Source organism: Homo sapiens, chromosome 6 (assembly GCF_000001405.40).
Source record: "Homo sapiens chromosome 6, GRCh38.p14 Primary Assembly".
Lineage (NCBI taxonomy): Eukaryota > Metazoa > Chordata > Mammalia > Primates > Hominidae > Homo > Homo sapiens.
The window spans coordinates 134,932,601-134,953,391 of NC_000006.12; the positions used below are offsets into that span (position 1 = coordinate 134,932,601).

The 20,791-nt window shown below is 43.4% G+C and overlaps 1 protein-coding gene across 3 annotated transcripts in view, besides 1 other annotated feature; it reads right to left on the minus strand.

The window, feature by feature from the left end:
* ALDH8A1 (aldehyde dehydrogenase 8 family member A1) overlaps positions 1–17,501 on the minus strand; it is a 32,709-nt gene extending 15,208 nt beyond the window's left edge. For 2 of the 3 annotated variants that reach the window (NM_170771.3, NM_022568.4), the window contains exons 1-5: positions 17,316–17,501; positions 11,219–11,366; positions 9,809–9,964; positions 6,666–6,815; positions 176–432 (exon numbers count right to left, since the gene is read on the minus strand). In NM_170771.3, coding sequence (NP_739577.1) covers positions 176–432; positions 6,666–6,815; positions 9,809–9,964; positions 11,219–11,366; positions 17,316–17,453 — 849 coding nt within the window. In that variant the 5' untranslated portion in view covers positions 17,454–17,501. The remainder of the gene's footprint in view (positions 1–175; positions 433–6,665; positions 6,816–9,808; positions 9,965–11,218; positions 11,367–17,315) is intronic. The other variant, NM_001193480.2, reaches the window with a different exon arrangement.
* Positions 1,777–1,977: a silencer, noted in NCBI's record as "peak6134 fragment used in MPRA reporter construct". NCBI's record gives its function as "represses an SCP1 promoter by STARR-seq MPRAs in K562 erythroleukemia cells {active_cell/tissue: K562}" and the evidence as "EXISTENCE:reporter gene assay evidence [ECO:0000049][PMID:32103011]".

The following is a 20,791-nucleotide window of genomic DNA, read 5'->3' on the forward strand; positions in this document are numbered from 1 at the left end:
ACTAATTAATGTTAAAATTGAGCAGAGAGTTAAGGGAATCACACAATGTACTGATCCTGCTTTCTCGGAAATGGCACTGGATTGACTGGCTTGCTCCCAGGCATTGCACTGTGATAAAACAGATCCAGCTTGACAGGGCCATGGAGGGGAGGGAGAAGAACCCCCGGGGACATACCTGGTTGGCAAAGCTGGACCTGACGGTTGCCGGAATGCACTCATCCAGGTTGGCGTCCTCAAAGATGATGGCAGGATTCTTGCCCCCCAGCTCCAGGGAGAGCTTTTTGCAGTGGGGAGCGCTCAGCTGGGTGATCCGCTCAGCGGTGGGCTGGCTCCCGGTGAAGGAGATCAGGGGCACCTCTGGGTGGGACACCAGGGCCTCACCCACCCTGGGCCCGGTTCCAAACACAATATTGACCACACCTGGTGGAACACCTGGATAGGAAACAGTATCAGTTATAGTAATTCTCAGTATGTTGAAGAGTTCAAGTTACTTGGAAATTCTCCTTTAAAGTCCAATCGCTTGAATGGGAGTGGGTAGGGATGGAGGAAGCACTTGGGTTTTACAACACTTGGAACTTCTATGGCTGCCTCTGGTTTAATAGCAAAGCAAAAACCACAGATTCACCTCTGCCCACAGTAAACACCAGGTGGGATTCCACTGGATGCTTTGCCCTAGAGAGATGCAGGGTGGAACATATTTTAGGTGATTCATTCCATAATACTGGCTAGGCCTTAGGGGTTGAGGATGCAGAGATAGTCTCAGGCAGGTCAAGCCCACTAGGGGAGCAGCACCCTGCTCCATCTTGGTGTCCAGGAGTCACAATGCTGTGTGAAAACATTAAGTAGAGAGGTGTATACATGCTGCAGAGGTGCAAAGAAGAGATTGACTATCTTGGCCCAGGGAAGCAGGGCAAGACTCCCCAGGGAGGGTGGGTTTCAGGTTGGAAGTCATGTCCACCATGCTTATAAATAGCATCATAACACTGTAGTGCCAACTTACAAGTACCACAAACAACCAAAAATGGGTGCCCCAATCTTTTCTATCACAAGACTCTGCTACCCTGTATCTTCGTGCATTTATGCATGTGTTTTCTTGTTTTATTATTTTATTTATTTATTTATTTTTGAGATGGAGTCTGGCTCTATTGCCAAGGCTGCAGTGCAGTGGCACCATCTCGGCTCACTGCAACCTCTGCCTCCCAGGTTCAAGAGATTCTCCTGCCTCAGCCTCCCGAGTAGCTGGGATTACAGGCGTGCACCATTACACCTGGCTAAATTTTGTATTTTTAGTAGAGAGGGGATTTCATCATGTTGGCCAGGCTGGTCTCGAACTCCTGACCTCAAGTGATCTGCCCACCTCGGCCTGCCAAAGTACTAGGATTACAGGCATGAGCCACCGCGCCCAGCCTATCCATGATGTTTTCTGGACTTACTTGTTCATTGCCTGCACACAACTAGAAGGTACACTAGCTAAGGGCAGAAACAGTGTCTGTTCTTTGCTCTCCGTTGTTTACTCTGTGCCACAGCCTAGTTTGGCATTGAGAAATAAAAATAAAATCCTAAGCTCCCCCAGTTGACTGAATGCAGCCTCTCTTGGCCAAAGCGATCCCAGAGAAACCTTAAAAACTGAGTTCCCAGCCATTATGGGATGAGAGGTCAAACACGCCATAGTATGACTCTTCCTTATTAATCTTTAACCAGAATTCTTTCCTCAGTGTAAGCAGAAACCAGCTCTAAAAAACAAGAAATGGATAATCTATTCCTTTATCGCCTTTAGCTAACCATCTGAAACTGCAACCAAATTTTCCTCCCTCTTTGCAGTTTGGATGTGACAGCTCACCAGTCTCACAACACATCCCTTCCTAAAAACTGATCACCATCTCGACTGGTTTTGGCTGACTTCCCGAGGATACGTAGTGAGGGTTTTCATGTCCTCTGCTTCACCTTTTGACATCAGAGGGCCAAAAACTCAACCCTCGGAACATGCTAAGGCTGCCATTTTTTGAGCACGTGATCCAGAATTCATGTCCACCATGTATATAAACGCATCATAACACTGTTATATAACACTACTCAGGAGGCTGAGGCAGGAGAATCTCTTGAACCCAGGAGGCAGAGGTTGCAGTGAGCCGAGATGGTGCCACTGCACTCCAGCCTTGGCAATGCAGCCAGACTCCATCTCAAAAATAAATAAATAAATGAAATAATAAAACAAGAAAACACATGCATAAATGCATGAAGATACAGGGTAGCAGAGTCTTGTGATAGAAAAGATTGGGGCACCCATTTTTGGTTGTTTGTGTTACTTGTAAGTTGGCCCTACAGTTTTATGAGCGCATTAAGCTCATCTGTGCATGCACCTGTTTCCCCTTTCATAAATATTCATGACTCCTCCCATATCCTACTGAATGTGAATATTCAGCCACTCTGCTCAGGATAAATTTCTGTTCCCTTTGCCCCTCCTCCAAGTACTTGTTCTCCGCTTTGGGCAGAGGCTACGCTTCCCAGCCTGCAAGATGGCTAGCCTGCAGGCTGCAACCCTTTATAAGAAATAAAACCCTCCTTTCCAAATGCATGAACCTTATGATTCTTCAGTTGATAGCACATGGAACTCAGACCAGTAAATGCAAACATTAGATAGGGTGCTTACTGTGGACTCATCACTGCTATCCGTGACTCACACACTTCAGTCTTCACAACAACCTTAGGATGTAGGTAGTTTTATTACACTTAGTTCACCAGGAAGAAATTTGAGGGAAAGTGAGATTGAATAACAATCAGTAAGCAGCAAAGCTGACAGGTTAATGACTGTTAAGTAAATGAATGAGTGAATGAATGCTTAGTGTACGTTATTCAAATTAGAAATGGTTCATGAATGGGGAAGCTTTAAAAAGAAAATCATCTTTATAATATCCAAAAAGAAAGTCATCTGTATAATCACGCTGTGTCTAGGCAGTTCTTAGGGTCTGCCTGGAGGTAGCAGAGTTTATTCCCTCTATTTCCTCAGGCCTGACCTACGGTAGGTGCAGAAATCTTGCAGCATCTCGGCTTTGTGACCTGCTTCCTTGCTTCTGGTTTCCTTCCCTTTGCTCCAGGTTAGACAATCTCTCCTCATTAGAAACATACTCCTTTGGATACAACCCATTTCTTCCAGAATCTACTTTTAAATTATAAATAATATAAATACTAATTTCACACTGATGATCCATTATCATCCAGAACATTCTCCCATACAGCCACAGCCTTGGCCCAATCACCTTGAAGCTACAGTGAAGGTCCCATCCCAGTGAGTCCTCAGGAGACAGGTGGGAAGATTCCACAAGTTGTGATGGTGCCTAGCAGAGCCCCACTTCTTTTTTTTTTTTTTTTGAGATGGAGTCTCGCTCTGTCACCCAGGCTGGAGTGCAAAGGCGCAATCTCTGCTCTCTGCAACCTCCGCCTCCTAGGTTCAAGCGATTTTCCCACCTCAGCCTCCTAAGTAGCTGGGATTACCGGCACTTGCCATCATCCCCAGCTAGTTTTTGTATTTTGGTAGAGATGGGATTTCACCACGTTAGCCAGGTTGGTCTTGAACTCCTGACCTCAGGTGATCCACCCACCTTGGCCTCCCAAAGTGCTGGGATTACAGGCATAAGCCACCATGCCTGGCCAAAGCACCACTTCTAAGCATTGCATCTCTTTACCCAACATGCACATTTGTTGAAATCTAGCTTAGGTCAGTCCTGGATTGTAGGTCACTGTCAGAGGAGTGGCTGGCACCATGTGAGAGCACCCCAGCTTTGGGTTGGGGCAAAGGAAAGTGTGGAAGGAGAGGATCCCCCTCAGTAGGTGATGCGACGAAACAAGGACAAGTCTCCCACAGTTTCCTGGGTAGGGCCCCACATCTCCACCAGTGATGGGGCATGCATGTGGGTGGATGGGGTGTGGGGCAGGAGGGGGTGGACTGTTAGGCTTTATCAATCCTGAAGGCAAAAAATGAATGGAATCACTGCTAATGTTCAGAGTAGCATTTTAACTGAGGGTGAGAGAGAATGCGGAAGCACTGCATATTTATCCCCACAGTAAAATGCGCTCACTGCGGCAGCGGATTGCTTTCCCCACGACAGTATTATCATTTTGACTACATTCCCTTGGGCTTGGATGCTAATGTCAGCTGGCCATTATTTCTCAGTACCATTTTGACATTTTATCCAGAAATTAATGGAATTTTTCTTGAGATGTCTGCCCTCTAACCTTGAAGAGATTCTGGTGATAAGAGAAGGAAAGCAGTTTAACTGACAAATAGCAATTTAGCAAAACTCAGGGGAGGTGGCTAACAGACAAGTTAGGAACAGACGAGAACAGACTAGAAGGAAACCCCTCAAATGTAGGGGCTTGGCAGGGTGGCAACAAGAAAAATTTTAGGCTTAAATAGAGCACACACACACACCCACCTACACACACACATCTCCTGCTCCACACACACACCTAATGGGAAGGGCCAGGAAAACGCAGTCAGTGGGCACTCCAGGAATGAGGGCAAATTTCCAAGAAGAAATGACTATTCCAGGAATCCCACAGAAGTATTCACTGTGTCATCTTAAAAATGAGTTTATTTTAAAGGAAGTTTATCTGTCAAGTCTGTTTAAATGCCCAGGACTAGAGGAGCTAACTCTTTAAACATCCAGAACGAATTAGTTATTTTCGCTTTTCCCTCCCCTACTAAAAGCTTCTCTTACGTTGCTCTAAAGCAGATGACACAGATGTGGTTCGCATTCCTTCCAATCCCAGTGGAGAAACTGAGGGCTCAAGAGAGGAGCAAGGTGAACATGACCCCCTCTATATTTGTCAGGGGAGGAAGTTTCAGCCCATGGAGGAAAGAGGAGAAGGGCTGTCTTAGTTTAATGGGCTTACTAGTTCCCAAGAAATAAAATCAATGCTGTGCAGAGATGGAAACAGAAACTGTCATGCAGGCCAGGTTCAGGGCAGACTGGCTGGGAAAGATAACTCATCATCTATCCAGACGTTCTTGGTCTCAGGAGAGAGTGGTTAAGGGAACACGGCTCTGCACGCCACCCCTGCCTCCAAATCCCAGTAGAGGGCAAGCCCCAGGCCTAGTCCACTCTGGGGAACCTGCAGTCACCAGGCAGGGAAGAAGTATGTCGCGCCTTTGCAGACACCACAGACCTCATTTTACAAAGAATGGGATTAGACTGTGAGGTCTTTTGTAGGGGAGGAACATGGGAAGGGTCGGCACATTTAAATGATATACCCCGCCCCACCCCCTCCACCTCGAAGCCTGGGAGCTCCATAGATGACAAATCAGAGTCCTAGGCTGGGAGGCCTCATTCCTCTGGAGGACCCTGGGATCGTAAGGCCCAGTGCCGTTCCCTAAACAGCCTCAGTTTTGAGCCTTCATCTTCCTCGTGGAGTAAAGAACTGGCTAGGGTTTACTGGAAGTTAATGTGTATGTCTGTGCTTCTAAGAAAGGTGTTCCGAAGCGGGAGAGAGGGACGGACTCTTACCCACCGGGCATTCTGTGGATACAGGAGAGCCCAGCAGTGCCTCTCTATGGGCTGAAAGGCAGCAAGGAGACCAACTAGAAAGACAGTGAGTCTGTCTCCCCCACCCAGCACTCCTGCCCTGGCCGTGGGGTGACATAGCAAAAAGACCTCACATTAAGGGGACTTCTCACAGGAGGGCTGCTGGGGTCTCCTGCCTGCTGCCTTCAAACAGTGCCAGCCTGTGCCTGTGCGGAGCTACAGCCCAGAACAAAACCAGGAGCGCATCCTGAATGCGGCCAATAAACTATTAGCAGAAAAAGAACAAGGAGCAAACGTGTGAACCTTGATATGCTAGGAAGAGGCCATATTGTATTAGCTTTCCAGTAGCAGTCCCAAAGGCAGGAAAAACTGAAGGATGTATATTTAGATCTCTTGAAATCGGGCTACTTCTACTAGGTATTCTATAGCCAAGCAAACTGTAGGTGTACCTAGCAATATTCTTATTGTCATCAGGATTAACTTGTGATTCAAGATTTTATTTTATTATTATTATTATTATTTTATTTTTTAATTTATTTTTTTGAGACGGAGTCTCACTCTGTCGCCCAGGCTGGAGTGCAGTGGTGCAATCTCGGCTCACTGCAAGCTCCGCCTCCTGGGTTCATGCCATTCTCCTGCCTCAGTCTCCCAAGTAGCTGGGACTACAGGCGCCCGCCACCACGCCCAGCTAATTTTTTGTATTTTTAGTAGAGACGGGGTTTCATCGTATTAGCCAGGATGGTCTCGATCTCCTGACCTCGTGATCCACCCACCTCAGCCTCCCAAAGTGCTGGGATTACAGGCGTGAACCACCACACCTGGCCCCAACTTAAGATTTTAATTGACTCTCTGGAGCAGGCAGGTGTCTTTGATTTGATGGGGCTGTTTAAGTCTGCGTCACTATTGTGCTGCCAGTCGCCCACCCTGGGGAGTGGAACTTGCCTGCAGTAGCACCGTTCTGGTGTTGAAGACAGGAAGCAGGGTGAGGGAACCCTGTGGGTGGAGGGGATTTCCCAGACAAGGATCAGAAAGACAAAGCCCATGATGTCACTGGAATCGATTGTGCTGCTGAGTGGAAGATTTCTATAAACTATAGGTTTGCTCCAACTCTGTGCCTGCCCCCCAACCCCAACACCTAATTACCTGCTTTATCCAGGAGTTTGCACAACATCCACGCAGTCACTGAAGTCAGCTCACTGGGCTTGGCTATCACAGTGTTCCCTGCAGCCATCGCTGGAGCTATCTTCCAGGTCAGCAAGTAGAGTGGCAAATTCCAGGGGCTGATCAGACCAGCTAAGGGATGAGAGCAGAAGCACTGCCTGTGACGGCATACCCCTCTGAGGTGGACTGGCCAAGTGGGGTTATTAACGCAAAACTCCTTCATGCTGCAGAAAACTTAGCTTACTCTTCTAACTTCTTCCCAAGCTTTGCTTATTTGTAGCCACTTTCAGGGAAATAATTCTAAAATATATTCCAAGCAACTGTATCTTTTAAAACAGAGTAAAGTCAATATGATTTCCCCATTTCTTGGCAGTTCATGATTATGAACAACAGCAATATAAACTCCAGAGCTAAAGAGTTGTCACCTATCATATACCCAAAGAAATATAAATCATTCTATTATAAAGATACATGCACGCGTATGTTCATTGCAGCACTTTGCTATTCACAATAGCAATAGCAAAGACATGGAATCAACTCAAATGCTCATCAATAATGGATTGGATAAGAATATGTGGTACATATACACAATGGAATACAATGCAGCCATAAAAAGGAACGAGATCATGTCCTTTGCAGGCACATGGATGAAGGTGGAAGCCATTATCCTTAGCAAAGTAACACAGAAACAGAAAACCAAACACCTGCATGTTCTCACTTATAAGTGGGAGCTGAACAATGAGAACACATGGACACAGGGAAAGGAACAACACACAGCAGGCCCTGTCAGGGGAGAGTCGGGGGGAAGAGCATTAGGATAAAGAGCAAATGCATGCTGGGCTTAATAGCTAGGTGATGGGTTGATAGGTGCAGCAAACCACCATGGCACACGTTTACCTATGTAACAAACCTGCACGTCCTGCACGTGTACCCTGGAACTTCAAAAAAAAATAAAAAATAAAAAAACAGTTGTCACCTGTCACTAAACAGTTCCAGAATGTGACGCATTTTGAGATTTATAGACTGAGCTTTACTTTTTCAAAAATGTCTCCTTCCCCATTATTTTAACGGTCTGGCTGTTATTTCTTCTAACATGTTTCTTTACCTTTACTTCAAATCTGTCATGGGTTGAGACATAAAATCTCAAGCTTTATATAATTATTCATAAAATAGGGGCCAATGAGTTCTGAGTGTTCCATGTGAGGGCCCTCCTATCAGTAAAGCCAATAACCTTTGGTGCATGGACTGTGACATCCATTTTGGCTATTTAGAATATTTTTAAATAAAAATTCTCTCTAGATTGTCACTTGTATCCTGACCAGATAGATTTGCTGGATGAGTAACGTAACCAGCAGCTAGAATGTGTCTCCATGCAATATTCTGAACCTATCCAGGTTTCCAATCACAAAACAAACAAATATAAAAATCTACCTTCTGAAAGGAAATTGATTCACCTTATTTTATACTCTTCCCTCAAGCCTGTGCTATGAAAGTAAATGCATCTTTTATATTATTAAATTTCCCACTGAAAAATCCATTCTTTAGGGGATAAAAATATTTTTGCAGCAAAATATATTAGCACACTTCCTAGGAGGAGGTAGAGCTTTCCACAATGCCTTGAAAACATAATTTCTGAAGGTTTCAAGTAACCAAAGCAATGAGATGTCCCAATTGTTTTCCTTTTAGCTTATATTCATAAAATGTAATAAGCTAAAAAGATGATTTTTTTCTCCGAGGAAACAGTGACATCTGGTGGAAGGTTTTAGTCATCACAGACATTTATTTATACGTTCTTCCAAAGGTCAAGAGGCAAAGGAATGCATGAAGTAAGATAATTCTCAGTAGAGGCTTATTTATCACACACCTGGCACCATACTACATGCCCTACACTTATTAATTTATTTAATGTACATAAATAGTTCTTTCTTTTTTTTTTCTTTTGAGACAGAGTCTCGATCTATCACCCAGGCTGGAGTGCAGTGGCACCATCTCAGCTCACTGCAACCTCCGACTCCCAGGTTCAAGTGATTCTCCTGCCTCAGCCTCCCAAGTAGCTGGGACTACAGATGCATGCCACCACGCCCGGCTGGGTTTTTTTGTTTTGTTTTGTTTTGTTTTTTTGAGACCGAGTCTCACTCTTGTCGCCCAGGCTGGAGTGCAATGGCACAATCTCAGCTCACTGCAACCTCGGCCTCCTGGGTTCAAGCAATTCTCCCTGCCTCAGCCTCCCAAGTAGCTGGGATTACAAGTGCCCGCCACCACATCCAGCTAACTTTTTGTATTTTTAGTAGAGATGGGGTTTCGCCATGTTGGCCAGGCTGGTCTCGAACTCCTGACCTCAGGCGATCCGCCAATCTTGGCCTCCCAAAGTGCTGGTATTACAGGCATGAGCCACCGCGCCCGGTGAATTTTTGTATTTTTAGTAGAGACGGGGTTTCACCATGGTGGCCAGGCTGATCGAATTCCTGACCTCAGATGATCCTTCTGCCTCAGCCTCTCAAAGTGCTGGGATTACAGGCGTGAGCCACTGCGCCCAGCCTGATTTTTCCTTTTTTAAATATAAGTAGAAAAAAAAATCCTGGCATGTGAATTTACATATTTACTCTTAGCATCATTCTTTTCCCTATGATTTTCCAGATAAGTCATGAACATGAGGCCTGGCGTGGTGGCTCACGCCTGTAATCCCAGCACTTGGGGAGGCCGAGGCGGGAGGATAACTTGAGGTCAGGAGTTTGAGATCAGCCTGGCCAACATGGGTGAAACCCTGTTTCTACTAAAAACACAAAAATTAGCCGGTGTGGTAGCTCGCACCTGTGGTCCCAGGTACTCAGGAGGCTGAGACTAGAGAATCACTAGAATCCGGGAAGCAGAGGTTGCAGTGAGCCGAGATCATGCCACTGCACTCCAGCCTGGGCGACAGAGCAAGACGCTGTCTAAAAAGAAAAGCAGGGAATTTGACACAAAGAAAATAAACTAGAAATAGATCTTTGAGGCCAATGGATTTTAGAAAAGAAAAATATCAGCTCTTCCTTTTCTTTAACCTGTTCCTTGAGGACAATGCCATAGAATGTTGTGAGCATCTGCAAGCATAACCGGGAGGTGGGCTCTCACTGAACAGCACTCACCGACTCCCACCGGGGCCCGCACCGTGTAGTGCATGCAGCCCAGGTGGTCCATCTGCGTGCACTCTGACGTGTGGTGCAGGCTGGAGGAAGCGAAGAACCTGAAGTTCTGCACAGACCGGGGAATGTCCATGGTTCTTGCCAGTGCTAAGGTTTTCCCTGTAAGAAGCAAACAACATAAAGCACTATCAGCTAATGGGGACACTCTATCCATCAGCTTCCACTGCCCACGCGTCCCAACTCACACTGAAACAGCCTGGATTCCTTCTAGCCCGGGGCAGGCATTCCTTGACCTCACAAAGACTTGATCATGGTTTGATAAAACCATACAATATTTAGGTATAAGGTTGGAAACTGAGGTGGGGGGTTAAAATTGAGTCAATAATCTTTGTTCTGTGAACTGAACACATCATTCTCATCACCAGTTTGCCAGATGCTACCACTTCACCCACACAAACTCTTGCAATTCAAAATCACCAGGCTTTGTACCTGCGACAAAGGCATTGAAATACGGGTGTTAGGACAGTTGTAATTGCACAGCACAAAACGAAACACTTTTATACACATGTAATGTGTATTTCATGACCTCCCCACACATGGTAGAGTCATCAGAAGAGCGGCTGGGAATGCCCTGGCACGGGATGCTGTGTGGCACCTGCTTGCCCATCACATGCCCTGCACGTCCTAGCTCCTGGATGGAACAGAAAGAGAAACAGAAGCTTACCTAGACTGCTACTGAGTTCTCTTTAGCGATGCAGGGAGCCTGGCCAGGAACACCAGCAGAGAACTATTTTCTTTTTAAGGGCTTGGACTCAGGCTGCTTTCTGATTTTTGATTGGTTTATGGCACACATGTAATTTTTAAAACTCTTGGCTTATCTTAACAGATATTCTTGCAAAAATTTACAAATATTTACTCCATTACTCTGACCTCTGGGAAAGAGTGGGAAAAAAAAATGAGATGTGTCGGGAGTGGAATGGTGACTGACATATCAGAAAACATCCTAAATAATCTGACTGCATAACTGCTTTTCAAATTATCTTTGCTTTGAAATTCTCTGCTTAGAATGAGTAGGAGACTGCATGATCAGCCCTAGTTCTTCATCTCTCCCTATATCCATGCCCTTTGCTGTATATATTTGCACTTCCTTTCATCCAATGAACAGAGTATATTTCTTTGCCCCTCAGCTTTTGGATCCAGCCATGTGACTTTCTCTGGCCATCTGAATGAGACAGGGCTGGGCCAGCCACAAGTCCTGGCCTTCCCAGGCCTGGAGCAGGGGAGGGTTTGCTCTCCACTTCTACTATTGCCAGAGGAGCAGGCACATGGGCTGGCCTGATGGCCCCAAGAGGGATAACATGAATAATCAGAGATGCCCTGAGTCCCATGTTACAGTTAAGAGGCAACTCTCACCTTGGTCTTTAGACTCGGCCTGGGCAAACTCCTCCAGGGACTGCTCCAGCAAATCCGCCACCTGGTTCAGGACCCGTGAGCGCTCCTGGGGGCTGCGGGATGACCAGCTGGGAAAGGCTTCTCTGGCGGCCTTGACCGCGGCTTCGATCTTTGAGGAGCAAATGGGAGAAAGGGTCACCTTAAAGCTGTTAGTCCTTGGGGGATGGACAAAACCAGAATCCTCAGGTCTCCACACACCTCATTTTTGTTTTGTTTTGTTTTGTTTTTTAGATGGATTCTCACTCTGTAGCCCAGCCTGGAGGGCAGTGGCGCAATTTTGGCTCACTGCAACCTCTGCCTCCGGGGTTCAAGTGATTCTCCCACCTCAGCCTCCTGAGCAGCTGGGATTACAGGCATGTGCCACCATGCCCAGCTAATTTTTGTATTTTTTAGTAGAAAGGGGGTTTCACCATGCTGACCAGGCCGGTCTTGAGTTCCTGAATACAAGTGAACCACTCGCCTCGGCCTCCCAAAGTGCTGGGATTACAGGTGTGAGCCACTGCACCTGGCCCACCCTAATTTTGAATATTCAACATGTCCCAGTGCTGAGCCACCCACAAAGTAGATGACACAGGTGTTTACATGACCAGCAAAGGAGGGGTACCATAGAAACAAAGAAACGCGCTCCATTTCAACCAATGCATCCTGAATGTAGTAATCAGATCATTAGAAAGAAGCTATTTGAATTTTAACATATGTACATTTTCAATCACTTCAGAAACTAGAATTTTTAAAAATATTGTGGGCCAGGAGTGGTGGCTCATGCCTGTAATCTTAGCACTTAGGGAGGCTGGGTTGGGAGGATCGCTTGAGCCCAGGAGTTTGAGACCAGCCTGGTCAACATAGTGAGACCCTGTCTCTACACAAAGGTTTTTTAAAAAATTAGTTGGGCGTTGTGGTGCATGCCTGTAGTCCCAGCTACTCAGGAGGCTAAGGTGGGAGGATTACTTGAGCCCAGGAGGTAGAAGCTGTAGTGAGCTGTAATTGTGCCACTGCACTCCAGCCTAGGTGACAGAGTAAGACCCTGTCTCAAAAAAATGTATATGTTATACATATATACTATATATATATAGTATATATAGTATGTATATATTATATATACAGTAGAAGAAGAAAATTAATCTAGATATGTGGAATCTCTAAAGCTTCTAACTCAGCTCTGACATATCTTATAAAGTCTGAAATTTTGGGTGAAATCACATCCTCAGATTGTCATTTTCACTTGAAATGACTAATTATATTTATAATTTATTGACTAATTTTTATATAAGGGAATATGCTAAATACTTTACACAAATTATTTTTATTTAAGTCCTTTCAAAATTCTATAACATGAGTATTGCTATGCCCATTTTACAGATGAGAAAACTGAGACATAGAAACTCAAGCAATTTGCCATAGGTCACACAGCTAATAAGTGGCAGAATCAGGACTCAAACCCAGATTTTGGTGGTTCCCAGGACCACAGGTTGCTCTGCCTGCTGCCTGATTCTGCCCAGTGGAAGAGGCTTTATTGGAGAAGAGGAGATTTGTGGCTGGACAGATGGCTTGGGTACCTCCTTTTAGAGTTACATACAAAAGGAAACAATATATGTATGGGAAGGTATGGGCAGGGTCAACTCATGGCCAAAATGTTATGTAGACAAAATAATTTTCAAGTCCTCTTCTGCCTTTCTCTTCTCTCCGGCAATGTCTAAGTAATGCCTTCTCCAGAGATGACAAATCCCTAACCCATGTCTCACTCCTCTCCTTTCTCACATGCATGAAAAATTATTATAATCACAGCTGTCTTCCACCACCGGGCCCTGGCTCAGACTCAGAATCCTTTTCCATAGGCTTCTGGCAGCCGTGAGCATCTTTTTTGGGGCGCTTGACCCGAAGTAATCTAGCCGCCTGAGCCTGTGCTAGCCCTCATGCAAAACCTGACCCACACCCCTCCTTCATTTCCCTCATGCAAAGTGACTGATATGGCTAGGTTTTGTGTCTCAACCCAAATCTCATCTTGAATTGTAATCCCCCTGTGTTGAGGGAGGAAAGTGATTGGTTTGTGGGGGCTATTTTCATGATAGTGAGTGAATTCTCGTGAGATCTAATGGTTTTATAAATGGTAGTTTTTCTTGGCCTTCACACGCTGTCTCGCCTGCCGCCAGACATGCCTGCTTCCTCTTCAGCCATGATTGTAAGTTTCCTGAGGCCTCCCCAGCCATGCAGGACTGAGTCAATTAAACCTCTTTCCTTAATAAATTACCCAGTCTCAGGTATTATCTTTATAGCAGTGTTAGAACGAACTAATACAGTCACTTTTAGCTGAGCTGAAGTAAGGTATAAAATGATTCTCATCTTAATTAGAAATTTCTAGAAATATGGTGGCTTCACCTCAAAAACTAAATCTTGAATGTGGACCTGCAGACAGGATAGGGGAAGAGATGGCTTTGGTGACCTCCACCACCAGCTGCAGCCATGAGGAAGCCCCACTGCCAGCCAGCAAGAGGAGCATGAATTCCTACAGTCAATGTAAAAATCTGGTCTTTTTGCTATTCAGAAAATTCAAGTCCACTCATATTTTCTAAGTTGCCTTATAGCACAACTTATGTCCATGTAATATAGAATACATATTAATGTACTACATACAATAATATTAGCATAAGTTAATACATAGAAAGCATTTACTATATGCCAAGCACTAAGGGCTTTAAGCATATTAGTCAGTTTAATCCTCAGAATAACACTATAAAGTAGATATCATTATTATCCTCATTTTATAGATGAGGAGACTGAGGCATGCAAAAGTTCAGCTCTAAGTCAAAGCCATAGATACCAAGTGGTGCAGCTTGTATTTGAACCAGGCAGTCTGACTCTAGTATGTGCTTATAACTGCAATGCTATAATGCAAATGTGCTATGCACACAGGTGCGCATGTGTGCGCGCGCGCACAGGTGCGCATGTGTGCGTGCACGCACAGGTGCACATGCCCATGGATCTAAGCATCAGAGATGAGAGTGTTAGTACTGTCCTCTGTAAAATAAGGATCATAATAGAGACTTCTAAGTTGTTACAACTCGCTTCTTTGGATAATCTATATTAAAGGGCTTACTGATTGCACACTACCAGACTTTAAAATATACTACAAAGCTATAGTAACCAAAGTAGCATGGCACTGGTGTAAAAACAGACACATAGACCAGTGAAACAGAATAGAGAATCCAGAAATAAATCCATGCATTTACAGCCAACTCGTTTTTTACAAAGCTGCCAAAAATATGCATTGGTGAAAACATAGTCTCTCCAATAAATGGTGCTGGGAAAACTGGATAACCATATGCAGAAGAATGAAACTAGACCCCTATCTCTCACCAAAACAAATCAAAACAGATTAAAGACTTAGATAGATGTAAGACCCAAAACTATGAAACTACTATAAGAAAACATAGGGTAAATACTTCATGACACTGATTTGGGCAAAGATTTTTTTGGGCAAGACCTCAAAAGCACAGGCAACAAAAGAAAATAAATAAACAAAATAAAATAATATCAAGCTAAAAAGCTTCTGCACAACAGAAGAAACAGCAGAGTTAAGAGGCAACCTACAGAATGGGAGAAAATATTTGCAAACTATCCATCTGACAAGGGATTAATAACCAGAATATATAAGGAGCTTGAGCTTGTATATATACATATACAACTCAATAGCCACCGCCCAAAAAATCCAATTTAAAAACGGGCAAATGATCTAAAGAGATATTCCACAAAAAGAAGATGTACAAATGGCCAACAGGTATATAAAAAATGCTTAACATCACTAATTATTAGGGAAATGCAAGTCAAAACCACAACGAGTTATTATCTCATCCCAGTTAAAATGGTCATTATCAAAAAATAAGAAATAAAAAAGGCTGGTGAAGCTGCAAAAAAAAAGGGAAGACAAATACAGTGTTGGTGGGAAAGTAAATTAGTGCAGCCATTATGGAAAACGCATGTAGGTTTCTCAAAAAAAAAAAAATAAAAATAGAACAACAGTATGATCCAGCAATCCCACTACTGGAAATTTATCCAAAGAAAAGGAAATCAGTATACTGAAGAGATACCTGTACCCCCATATTTGTTGAAGCACTATTTACAATAGTCAAGATATGGACTCAACCTAATGTCCATCAACAGCTGAATGGATAAAGAAAATATGGTATATATACACAATGGAATATTATTCAGCCATAAAAAGGAACAAAATCCTGTCATTTGCACCAACACGATTTGAGCTGGAGGATATTACGTTAAGTGAAGTAAGCAAGGCACAAAAATACAAATATTACATGTTCTCACTCATATGTGGAAGCTTAAAAAAGTTGATCTCATGGAGGTAGAGAGTACAATTATGGTTACCAGAGGCTGGGAAGGGTAGAGGAGAGGATAGAGGTTGGCTAATTAATACAAAAATATGGTTAAAAGGAATAAGTTCTAGTAGAGTGACAATAGTTAACAATAATTTATTGTATATTTCACAATAGTTAGAAGAAAAGATTTGGAATGTTCCCAACACCAAGAAATGATAAATGTTTAATGTGATGGAGATCCTAATTACCCTGATTTGATCATGACACATTGTATGCATGTATCAAAATGTCACATATGCCCATAAAGATGTACAATTATTATGTATCAATTTTTTAATTTTTTGTTAAAAAAGGGCTTAATGACTGCAAAGCACAAAGCAAAAGTTGAATAAACGGGAGCCACTGTTAGCAGCACCAGCAACATTTTCCTGAGTGATGTTTTGGAAATTGGACATGCAGTTTGTATGGTAACCATATTTTTCAAGCCGGAAAAAACTATGACTTATGGGATCAGATAGGATATTTGGAAGTTGGATTGCTGAGAAACTGAACATATCTATTACTCTACTAGCTAGCGCATCCATAGCTCATTCTATTTTCTAAAAAGTTATGAGCCATTAGCTGCAGGAAATATTTCAGCTGAATTTGGCATGTTTGTCATTTTTAACTTCACTTTGGCAAACAAGGAAGAGTGGAAAACACAAAGCTGGATTTCCCAGAGCTGTGTTAAGTCATTTGAAGCAAACAAAATTGCAGTTTATAATTTAACCAATGCATTAACCAACATTTGCAAACATTAATCCCTAAGTCTGAAGGTTTACTTTAAATGCAAGACAGATTTGAAGTATTAACAAAAAAGAAAAAAAATAGCAATGTTCTTAAAAAAAAACTTTGCATGGAATATATATTTTTATAGGAAGACTATATTTTAAATAATCTAGTTATTTGTGCCTTAAAAAGAATAAATTATAATTCATAAGGCATTAGATGACTATATATACATCAGCTACATTTACCACTTCAGATATATTTACATTCTCAGTGCAATAATTGATAGCTAATCAAATATATCTCAAATATTTTACAAAATTCTCCAAGTAAAATTAATTCTACATCACCAAAAAAATGTAATGCATATGCCATTAAACACTTTGGATAAGAAAAAAGACGCTGTTAAATCTAACTCCAAAAATATATGGGAATTTGATTTTGAGTTTCATCATTCAAATGATTGATTTTATTTTACTAGGTATTTTGAAGACATGACAAATTATGAGAAGACAATCTAAAACAAAGCCCACAGTTTTTTGCTTGTTTGTTTATTTTAGTAAAGCTATACTTTTTTTTTAATTCCATGGATATAGTGGTAAATTTAAGCAGTGCGTGGTGGAGAAAAGGGAATATTTAACAAAGTGATAGCTCTTACAAATAATACTTTGTACTAGACACTGATTAGGAAATGTTTGAGAATTGCAAAAAAAAACTGCACACAGGGCTGTGTTAGGTTGGCTAGAAAAATGACTTACTTTCTGCATATAGGAAGAGATTTGTTCTAGGTATCATACAGTCCAGTTACAAGGTACATCTTCTGAGAACTAGAATCTTCCTTCTATCATGTTTAACAATCCTACATCTTCCCCCAACTCCCTCTGCTTTTAGAAAACTGTTACCCATAATTGGCCAACATATTAAACACATTTCAGTCTTCTTTAAGTGCATATACTCACCTCGTCTTTTCCACTATTTGGCACTCTGCAATACACTTCCCCTGTTGATGGGTCGTAAGAATCTATATATGAGCTACAAGGTAAAAATTTTCCATCTATGAAGTTTTCCAGCATCAAAAGTGCGTTTGTTCCAGCCATAGCAAGGAAAAATTCTGCCTTTCCTCTTTACGACTGAGCACTCAGGTTGTCCCCACCACTGTCTGGACTCCTGAGTGAGCCTCCCCCTTCCCAGCCCCCATCTTCCCCTTTACCAATCAGTGAATGTGGGAGGGCACCTGACGCTCTCAGAGAGCATTCCAGTCTCCAAACTCAGAACTAAGAGAGTGGCTGAATGTTTCACAGACTTCTAGTACATTACCTGACATGGATAATTGTGTGTAAAAGTAACAGCTACTTACTTATGTGTTCATAGCCCTTTAAATCATCAGAAGGCATCTGTGCATGTGATTTTATTGGGTTCACACCGTAAACTGTTCATTGCTCAAACACTGATTGGATGCCAGGCCCCAAAGCAAGTCCTTTACATGAATTTACTCGTTTATTCCACACAACAATCCTATATGAAGTAACCATTACTTCCTCTCTTTTATAGAAGAAACTGAGCCTTGGAGAGGTTAGACCATTTTTCCAAGGTCACATAGTTAGCAGGGGATGAACTGTAGCCCTTTAATCTCCAAATCATATACTTTTTCCTCAATGCATCACTGCTTACCCTGCAGAGGTAACTGAAGACAGATGCCCTCTTTCCGTGGCTCATCTGTGTTTCTTTACCTTGGCTGCCCTCTCTTGGAAGAGCTGTCTCTCCATCCCAAAACCGGGGCCACAGTGGCTGCTCACATCTTCCTAGATGTGCCATGGAGATAAAGACAAGCCAAAAACATGTGTGACACATATAGCAAGGGCTTCAGATCCCTGATGTAGCTGAGAATTTCTACAAATTGGTAAGAGAAATGAGCACCCCAACAGAAAAGATAAGCAAAGATACAAAAAAGCAATCCATAGGAAAAGGAACACAATTGGCTAATGAATATATTAACAATGTTCAGCCTTGTTGTTAAGCAAGGAATGTGAAATACAGAGGTGGCCTGATTTGCCAATCATACTGGAGAGCATTTTTAAAGATTGAGAACATCTACTCTGTGAGGATGTGGAGAATCATCCCTAGTCCATAGGCGGGAGGGTTCACAGAACACTGCTTGGGGCAATTTGTCAGGGTCTGGTCAATTTCTCTTCTAGGAATCTCTCCTACAGAATTACGTGCTCATGAACAAGTACATAAGTCACAGGACATCCTTTTTTATCATAATTTAAAAATCAAAACAACCTAAAGTCCATCAATTGGAGAATATTAGAGTATAATTGTTATATTCTTAACAGGGAATACTACTTAGACATTAGAAGGATGCATTGTTAAGTGAAAAAATAAAACTAGTGAATAATATATACAGCATAGTTTCTTTGGCTATTTACATGGTTGACAGGAAGCCGTTTTAAACTGCTTGGATATTTTATGGCAAGCCTATATTACTTTTATAATTATGATTTATAGTTATAATTCAGTTGAAGGTTAGGTACCAATATTCTAAAATTCATTGATCACATGAGGGCACTTGCTGGCCGTGCACCTCCTTAGGCCCTCTCTGCTTCCATCTTTATTGGTCTCTAGATATTCTCCAAAATTCTTGCTGAGACTTCTGACAAGCATGGTGTGGCTGATTCTGGGAGGCCCAGAGCAGCTGGAGTCTGGAGCTGGCGCCGTTGCCTGTCGCTGGAGAGTCGCTGACAGGGACTGGAGACAGAAGGTAGTCTCAGGCTTTTTCTGGTGCTGCCCACGGTCAGGTCAGCTGGAAACAGAATGAGAGAAATACGCAGGTCCCAGCCCTGGCACCACAGAGTGAAGTACCAAGAAGTGAGCTTGGTGCTGAGAGACAGTGAGTACCACCCGGTGTGTGCATAAAGACTTCTGTAGCCCATCTTCCTGGGTCTCCAACAACTCTGCCTAATGTTGATGGACTCATCAGAATGTTTGTCTTTTTGTACAGAGTGCAAAAGATTCTAATGGGAGGACTATGGAAGGGAGATCTTTTTGAAGAAAGGACTTTACCCAGGATAGCATGAGAGAGGAATTTTCTGCCACGTGACAGTAGAAGAGGACAGAAGCCGGACACGGTGCTTCTAAAGAGTGCCTGGTGCTGATCAGAACTCCCCACACAAGATCAGTCCCAGTGGCAGAGCAGGCGTGTCTGTCAGTTACAGTGGCCTCCTTGTGCCATTTTCTTGTGCCATTGGCTGCTCAAGCTGGGCCTTCGCTGGTTTTTCTTTTTCTTTTTTTTTTTTTGAGACAGAGTTTCACTCTTGTTGCCCGGGCTGGAGTGCAATGGCATGATCTCAGCTCACAGCAACCTCTGCTTCCTGGGTTCAAGCAATTCTCCTGCCTCAGCCTCCCAAGTAGCTGGGATTACAGGTATGTGCCACCACGCCTGGCTAATTTTGTATTTTTAGTAGAGACGGGGTTTCACCATGTTGGTCAGGCTGTTCTCAAACTCCTGACCTCAAGTGATCCGCCCTCCTCAGCCTCCCAAAGTGCTGGGATTACAGGCGTGAGCCACTGTGCCTGGCCTCGCTGGTTTTTCATAATGTACTTGGCCTTCCCCCACTTCCCCCTGTCAGCCCTTTTCTGTCCACAGTGCAACCATTTGATCCCCACCTGCAGGTCAACCACAGAGATGACTCTGGAATCAGAGCTCAGCTGAGCTGGGAGACTTTCATCCTGGAGGACAGAGCATGGGCCTCATTCAGAGTCTGGTCATGTCAGTTGACCCCAGTCCTGATACCTGAGCTCTGACATGCCTTCAAGGCCTTTTCTCTAAGTTGGCACCAACGTTTCTCCTGTCGGTTTCCCTTGAAGAGACATGAAATCCTATATCTGGGCCTAGTGGCTGAGAACCTACTTCTAGGTAGTTCTACCTGCTTCACTGGACATGTGGGTATCACCTGCTCCTGAATTATTCTGGCTGGCTCCATCTGCTCGCCAGTGTGTCCTGCTGAATGCAGATCTGTTCTTACCACATCCCTGTAACAGCATTCTGACCCATGGGTGAAACGTACTCCCATTTGCGGTCACAGAATCCACCCCCCACCACATCCCAAGGGGTGGATTCACTGCCAGGTCCTGCACAGTGAGGACAGGGGACTCAAGACCTTGAGTGCAACTGAGAAAAAATTATAAATGGGAGGTATTAAGTATACTAATATTCTAAGAGAACTAGTTGCTCTAGAATATTACAAAAGAGAATAGGGTGTTTTTATCTAATACAACAAAAGTTATTCTCTTTAAAAGGGGAAAGACAATCCTGATTTAGGGGGCCCCAGGTGTACTGGAGTTTTGTTTTTACCCACAGTGGTAAACAAAAATCACAGCATGGTAGCATGAGGCAGCTGGGAGGGGTACGCTAGACTCAGGAGAAACACAGGAT